Source organism: Homo sapiens, chromosome 21 (genome assembly GCF_000001405.40).
Source record: "Homo sapiens chromosome 21, GRCh38.p14 Primary Assembly".
Lineage (NCBI taxonomy): Eukaryota > Metazoa > Chordata > Mammalia > Primates > Hominidae > Homo > Homo sapiens.
Genome location: NC_000021.9, coordinates 22,552,146 through 22,560,933, shown reverse-complemented (window position 1 = coordinate 22,560,933; position 8,788 = coordinate 22,552,146). Strand labels below are relative to the sequence as shown.

The window sequence follows — 8,788 nt, the reverse complement described above, 5'->3', positions numbered from 1 at the left end:
GATTTTGGAAGTTGAGAGAGCGTTAAACAATGGTTTGAGTAATCTCTGACGTACTTATACATGTTTCATGTTCATGGGAGAGTCCAGAAAGAGGAGGGAAATAATAAGGCTTGGGGATACTTGTGAAGTTGTTGACACTTTGAATATGTTTCTCAACTCATTCACAGTTGGAGAGACAGAGTGCTGTAGCCAAAATAGTTTGAGGTGCTTGTACATAATCATGGAATAATAGTGAAACTCTAAAAGCCCAGATACAACCTCTAGGGACTCAGGCAGATAGATTAACAATCGAAGATAGGTATATACATATATGCAAACAGACAGAGAAGCTGAGCAGATAAATCAATGATTGCTCACCATGCAGGAGAAAGAGTAACTGCAGTCAAGTTAATGACTTCTTAATATGAAACATCTAAAAATAAATGAAAGAACCATTAGAAGAACAAAATAAAATCTAGAATGACTCCAACTAATTGTACACTCTTCCCAAGTTTTAACACATACTACTGGACATTGAGAAACCATGGAAGTAAAATATTTTGGAAAAAAATATAAGTCAATAAAAAATATCTCCAAATGAGTCATTTGTAGATAAGTAGGCTTCATCCCTGGGATGCAAAGTTGATTTAAATATGCAAATAAATAAATGTGATTCATCACTTAAAGAGAAATAAATTTAAAAAACCCATGATTATATCAGTAGATGCAGAAAAGTCTTTCAATAAAATTCAATACCCCTTTATGTTAAAAAAAACTCTCAGTAAACTGGATATTGAAGAAACACCTCAAAATAATAAGAACCATCTGTGACAAACCCATAGCCAACATTATACTGAAAGGGAAAAATCCGGAAGCTTTCCCCTTGATAACCAACACAAGACAAGGATGCCCTCTCTCACCACACATATTCAAAATAGTATTGGACATCGTAACCACAGCAAACAGGCAAGAGAAAGAAAAAAGTACATCCAAAAGAAGATAGGAAGCCAGGCCGGGTGTGGTGGCTCACGCCTGTAATCCCAGCACTTTGGGAGGTTGAGGCAGGCGGATCACGAGGTCAGGAGATTGAGACCATCCTGGCTAACACAGTGAAACCCTGTCTCTACTAAAAATACAAAAAATTAGCTGGGCGTGGTGGCGGGTGCCTGTAGTCCCAGCTACTCAGGAGGCTGAGGCAGGAGAATGGCGTGAACCCAGGAGGCGGAGCTTGCAGTAAGCCGAGATCATACCACTGCACTCCAGCCTGGGCGACAGAGCAAGACTCTGTCTCAAAAAAAAAAAAAAAAAAAAAAAAAAAAAGGATAGGAAGCCAAACTATCTCGGTTTGCAGATGACATGACTCTAAATCTAGGAAACCCCATAGTCTTGTCACAAAAGTTCTTTGAGCTGATAAACAACTTCAGCAAAGTTTCAAGAAATAAAATCAATGTACAAAACTCACTAGAATTCCCATACACCAACAACAGTCAAGCCGAGAGCCAAATCAGGAAGGCAATCCCACTCACAGTTGCCACAAAAAGAATAAAATACCTAGGAATACAGATAACCAGGGAGATTAAAGGTCTCTACAGTGACAACTACAAAACACTGTACAAACAAACAGAGATAATGCAAACAAATGGAAAAACATTCCATGATCATGAATAGTAAGAATAAATATTATTAAAATGGCCATACTGCCCCCGGAGCAATTTACAGATTCAATACTATCCTATCAAACTACCAGTGACATTCTTCACATAACTAGAAAATTCTATTTCAAAATTTATATGGAACCAAAAAAGAGCCAAAATAGCCAAGGCAAACCTAAGCAAAAAGAAAAAAGCAACCTAACAAAAAGAACAATTTGCTACCAAATTTCAAACTATACTACGGGGCTACAGTCACCAAAATAGCATGATATTGTACAAAACCTGACATATATACCAATGAAAGAGAATAGATAGTAAACAGACAACCTACAGAATAGGAGAACATTTTTGCAAACTATATCTGACAAAGATCTAATATCTAGCATCTATAAGGAGCTTAAACAAATTTATAAGCAAAAGCCAAACAATCCCATTGAAAAGTGGGCAAAAGACATTAACAGACACTTTTGAAAATAAGACATACAGCCAGGTGCGGTGGCTCACGCCTTTAATCCCAGCACTTTGGGAGACCAAGGTGGGCCGATCACCTGAGGTCAGGAGTTCGAGACCAGCCTGGCCAACATGGTGAAACCCCATCTCTACTAAAAATACAAACATTAGCCAGACGTGGTGGCATGTACCTGTAATTTCAGCTAGCCAGGAGCCTGAGGCAGGAGAATCTCTGGAACCTGGGAGGCAGAGGGCTGCAGTGAGCCGAGATTGCACCACTTCACTCCAGCCTGGGCAAAAGAGCAAGGCTCTGTCTCAAAAAAAAAAAAAAAAAAAAAAGAAAAGAAATAAAATAAGACATACATGAGACCAACAAGCATAAAAAAATGCTTGCTATCACTGATCAATAGAGAAATGCAAATCAAAACCACTATGAAATACTATCTCACACCAGTCAGAATGGTTATTACTAAAAAGCCAAAAAATAACGTGCTGGCAAGGTTGCAGAGAAAGAGAACATTTATACACTGTTTGTAGGAGTGTAAATTAGTTCCACCATTGTGGAAAGCAGTGTGGCCATTTTTCAAAGAGCTGAAAACAGAAATGCTATTTGACCCAGCAATCCCATTACAGGGTATATACCCAAAGGAATATATATCACTCTATCATAAAGACACATGCACGCGTGTTTATTGCAGCACTATTCACAATAGAAAAGACATGGAATCCATCTAAATGCCCATCAGTGGTAGACTAGATTTTAAAAATGTGCTGCACATGTGCGATGGAATACTATACAACCATATGTTCATAAAAAAGAATGAGACCATGTCCTTTGCAGGAGCGTAGGTGAAGCTGGAGGCCATCATCCATTATTTCTACATTAGCAAACTAACACAGCAACAGAAAAACAAGTGAGAACGTATAAGTGAGTGCTAAATGATAAGAACACATGGACACTTACAGGGGAACAACAGACACTGGGTTCTATCTGAAAGTGAAGAGTTGGGAGGAGGGAGGGGATCAAGAAAAATAACTAATGGGTATTAGGCTTAATAACTGCATGGCAAAATAATCTGTATAACTAACACCTGTGACATGCGTTTATCTATGTAACAAATCTGCACATATACCCCTGAACTTAAAAAAAGTTAAGAAATAGAAACAAGTATCTATACACCTATAAACCCATCACCAGAATGAAGAAGTAAACATAATAAATAAACATATGGCTATCACATACAAAAGTTATCTCATGGTGCCTTGTACTTTATATAACTACTGGTATAATTTTGGCTACCAAAGATCAGTTTGAATTTTCATACAATATGTATTCCTTTTTACACAGATTTTTTTCACTCAGCATAATTATTTCGTGATTCATGTTTTTGTTTGTATTCATATTTCAGTAGTTTTTATTTTTGATGAATATCCTGTTGAATTTGTTTATGGAAGAATTTTTGAGATAAATTGTAAAGTTAAATAATTTAGCTAGATGTACAATTGTTTCTATATGAGTATCCATAATCTGTTTCATTGTCTTATTTATCAAAACAATTAATCAAATAACAAATTGTCAATGTAGATATTTGATTGAATGAACCAAAAATTCACATAAACAGGTTGATTCTGAAATGTTTAGACAAATCAGTATTGCCATAGATCTGTTACTTGGGTAAGTAAAAAGAATAATTTTTGTTAAGGATTTTTAATTTATTCAGATTATATTTTAGTTACAAAGTATTTATATGTGCTTTTTTAAATCAAGATCACTATTAATAAAATATTTATTTACATGACCAAATTGGCCAATAGGGATTGTGAAATCTGGACTTTGAATGGAAACAAATCTTACAATTGAGAACTATTCCAAATTAAGGCAAAGCTAATTTAGTAGCAAAATATTAACTTTAAATTATTAACTTTAATAATTCAAAAGTAGAATCACTAATTACATGTAACCATAATTTCAATGATATCTAAGGAAGCAGAAATGAAGATATCAAGTTAATAAAATGTTTGTGAACTACTTTTTAAAAAAGACATATTTCATCTGCTTTTTTGTTAATATAAAAAGAAAAATGCATAGTGGCAATAATTTGACAGAATTTCTAGCAAAATCGTGGGCAATATTATCAAAGGAAGGGAGATGGGATATCAGACCAAATAATATGTCCAATATCTTATAGTTGTTACTTAAGAGTGCAATTATGATCCTAAATATCTTCTTATTATTTATCTCTTAAATTTTTGCCAGGTTTTTTAAAAAACTAATTCATATTAAATACATTTCATCTTTTTCATTTATGTTACTTTTTTGTTGCAGGATGAATCATAGATTATAGCAATATCTATATATTGTAGATACATGATGTTATGTTGTCTAATACCTAACAGAACCACAAATTTATTAAAAGTTGAAATTCCTTCAATTTTTAAACTTTTAATACATGTTTAAATTATGTCTTGTCTTTTGATTGGTATATTATTCATCAAAATATTAATAAATTCCAAATTACACCATGTATATGATGATGAACTTTATAGATATAGTATAAAAACCAGACCTAAATTTATATATTTGACAAGAGAAAAGGTAGTCTTTGGGTTTTACATTACATAAATATTCATAAAAAGAATTATTCTTTTTTCTTTGCATAACAAAATTATATATACATATATGTGTGTATATATACATATGCTTGTTTATATATACATATATATATACATATATATATATATATATATATATACACATACACATAGCCTCATTTTTCCACATATGATTGGAGTATTGGATTCCATGTTCCATTTTAAGGAAAATATTCTACCACAATACTTTGCTGGATAAACAAATATAAATATCAGATTTTGTATTGATTAAGGTTTAAGTACCTCTTTTGTGAAAAACAAGTATTGATTCACTAAGGTTCATAAGTAAAATGATATATCTAAAGGTGCTGGTTGAATATTATAATAATGGTTTTATCCTAGTGGTATATCACTACGGAAATATGTTAGAAACTTCCACCACTCCTAAATTTTTAAAACTTGATCTTTAGAGAAAGAAGCTTCCTTCTTTTATAATAATCTACATCATTTTTCTTCTTTAAAAACATAATATCCAGTCCAGCACTTTAGTAAATATTCAGAACATAAGTAACTTCAGGGGATCTGAACAATGTCTGAATGTTAAGTCGAGGTGAAACATGTAGAAACTGGCTGTCAGCTGATTTTCAGCCATTCCTTTTACTTTTACTTCAGTAAAGATTTTTGAGTATTAACCTCTCCTATATTAGCATCAATGAAATGATTCTGATATCCTAAATCGATTAGGAAAGAAAGATAAATATATGTAATTGTGTCAACTTCCAACTTACTTTGGTCTGAAGCAAACGCAAATATAGACCAGATCCTAAAAAAAAAAAAAAAAAAAAAAAAAGCGAGAGAATTTTTAAATAACCATATTTATTCCTAGTATTTCCCCAGAGATCTACCCTCTTCACCAAATAACTCTAATCTGTTAGAAACTCACCCAAGCTTTAGTTCCTGGCTGCTATATTTCATTACTGGAGACAGTTGAAGAGTAAATCAAGCATCAAATAGACTGTAATTCACCCACCTTTACACTGGTGCGCCTTTTACTGCAAGGTTATATAGATGTCGTAGAATTACTTGATTAGCATTATTTTAGGGTGAGCAATACTTCAGTGCAAACTCGCGAAGCTGAACTGAATCAATAAAGTTTGTATGACATGAAAATGAACTTTATTGAACCCTACAGAGTAGTAGCTATTACAAAATTCAGAATAGGAAAGAAATGGAAAATGTTTCTTCCTTTTTTTATATTTTACTCTTAATAACATTATTTTGAGAATGAATTTGTCATACTTTTTTATGACGAAGGAAATTCTTTCCAGCCCTGCTTTAGACTCTAAGAGGCAGTGATTATATGCCCAAAGTATGTGTGGAGTATTGGATGATCAAAACTCTTGGACATCTGAAAAGCCAATGAGTGGCAAAATCATTTAGAACTAGAGACTCCAATTTCAACGGTTTGTTTCTTTATCTCATCTGCCTACTTTTCTCTGCATGCTGGCTCCATTCTCTCTTACTTCCAACCAGCTTTCTTAACTGACATATTAGAAATTCCAGCAGAGAATAACAGGCAATCTTGGCTTCAGTTTAATGGTTTCCAGGAAAAGACATTCCTTTCTGTAATTATACCTAATAAACAGGGAGTTATATCAGAAATTAGCAGATCATATAGAAAACATATTTGAAACATGGAAAAGTTTAATTAGCACATAGAAAAGTACTCTTCTAAAGGAAGAGTAAATAAATGAAAGTAGAGTAAATAAAAGAAAGATAGATAAAAGATAAAATGTACAGTAAATAAAAGAAAGATAGATAAAAGATAAAATGGGAGAAAACTTAAACAGCTATCCATATTCGAACTACTACATGTTGAGTACGACTCAGCCATACTTGTCAATGCTTTCTAGTAACATTTATAGAGATCTTAGTCAATGTTTTTTTTTTTCCATTCTCCTCAAAGAATAAAAGTTTAAGTAATTCCTCATAAACATCTCAATTTTACCATGATGTTTGTACTTTTATTTGAATTCTACTTTATATGAAATGAGGAAGTAAGGTAGAAAAGTGTTAAAATGTGAATGCCATTTGCCATATAATTTTTTTCTCTCCTTTTAATATATCTCCTAATATCAACCTGTTCCTTTTCTGTCATAGAGATCACTAAGCACTTAATTTTCTTGAATCAAAGGTCCAGGAAATACTAAAATAGACTGTATATTATTAAATTAGCTCAGAAATTATTCTTTGATTATTAGGACCCTCTGAAAATTCTTCCTCTCCAGATACAAATAACTATAACTTTATCACTGTCAACTTTCCTTTTTGTGATGGTGGTATATTCTGTCTATATTTTCATCAACTTTACTTGTACCCTTCCCTTCATATTAGTGTGTGTATGAGTGTGTATGTGTGTGTGTGTGTGTGTACTACATGTTTTGTCTTAATCTTTCCTGCCATTTTTAATCATGAAACCTTAAGAAACTTAGTACTGTGTTACTCAAAATGTATTTTGAGTGCTGCCAGCATAAGCCTAACCTGGGAGCTTGCGAGAAATGTAGAATATCAAGCCCAATTCCATACCTGTAAAATCAGATTTTAATACAATCTCTTCACTATTAGATGTACATTAAATTTAGGGTTAAGGAAGAATAAACGTCCACATGGTTTTCTCTCTTTATTACCCTGTTACATTGAAATACATCATCAATTAACAGAGCCCATCTTCTGAATATCTATCTTGTGTGTGTCTCTATTTCCCAGTGGCATGCCCTTTCTTTAAATCATCAAAACTTCTTACCTGGATTATTGTAGTGGCCCTTTGACTTTTGTGCTGATGATAGTCCATACTCCCCTAATCATTTCACTACATCAGTGGAAACTTGTTACCCCTAAATATTGAAATAAATTGATTAAATTAGGCAAGTACAATTTACCATTAATAAAAATTATGTTTTTTTTCTAATAACTCTTAGAAAAAAATCAAACATATCCTTCCATAATCTGACCCATTCCTCACTTTTAAAACACATCTTGGCCGGGTGTGGTGGCTCACACCTGTAATCCCAGCACTTTGGGAGGCCAAGGTGGGCAGATCACAAGGTCATGAGTTCGAGACCAGCCTGACCAACATGGTGAAATCCCATATCTACTAAAAATACAAAAATTAGCTGGGCATAGTGGTATGCACCTGTAATCCAAGCTACTTGGGAGGCTGAGGCAGGAGAATTGATTGACCCTGGGTGACGGAGGTTGCAGTGAGCCAAGATCGTGACATTGCGCTCCAGCCTGGGCAACAGAGCAAGACTCCATCTCAAAAAACAAACAAACAAACAACAAAAAAAAAACCCCACAAAAACCCATCCCTTGATATAACCCAGGTGCATAACAATTTCCTGAAGATTTCAAGTGATTCCATACTTCCATGAATCATTTTCTACTAGTCCCACTGCATGAAAATCTTCATTTCTAAAAGACCCTCCTCACCTCACTGATGCTCTCCAGTCTCCAGAAATTAACTCTAACCAAAGTAAACCTAAAATTATGTTTACTAAAATAATTTCTTAAATGCTGAATTTGAAATTTCACTATAAATATATAATATGTAAATATTATATATTTATATTTAAATAATATTTATTTAAATATTTAAATACAAATATTTAAATAATATCTAAAATTATTAATATTTAATATTTAAATATTTAAAACTTTAATTTTAAATATATAAATATAAGAGAAAAATAAGAATTGTACCAAGCATGTTTACTGAATTTCAAAATTATCTTTAGGACATTTCATAGGTGTTGAGCAAAGAAACAGACTTAAAAAAATCTGCTGGCTTTTTGTTGTCTGCTGGCTAATTTATCTAGCACTTTACCCTGAATGGAAGCCTCTGAGAGATGAATTTTATATTTGGTCCTCAGTAAAAATAAAGAGTCTTAAATATTACAGATGGTTGATTTATTTAGAAGTACACAAACAATGAGTGTGAAAACATACATACGGTAAAAAGAACAGAGAAGGCATTAAACTATGGAGATGCATGCACATGTGTAGCCTTTAATAAAGATTATAATAAATAGTGCACATCATTTTAATATTTTATTCTG

The 8,788-nt window shown here is 32.9% G+C and overlaps 1 long non-coding RNA gene across 1 annotated transcript; it reads right to left on the bottom strand.

Annotated features, from left to right (window-relative positions):
* Window positions 1-357: 357 nt before the first annotated feature.
* LOC107985494 (uncharacterized) lies at window positions 358-5,752 on the bottom strand. Its single transcript, XR_001755100.1, has 3 exons — window positions 5,704-5,752; window positions 5,462-5,496; window positions 358-412 (listed from the first exon to the last, which is right to left on the bottom strand). It is a non-coding gene; the product is annotated as an uncharacterized LOC107985494 (long non-coding RNA).
* Between the last annotated feature and the right edge of the window lie 3,036 nt (window positions 5,753-8,788).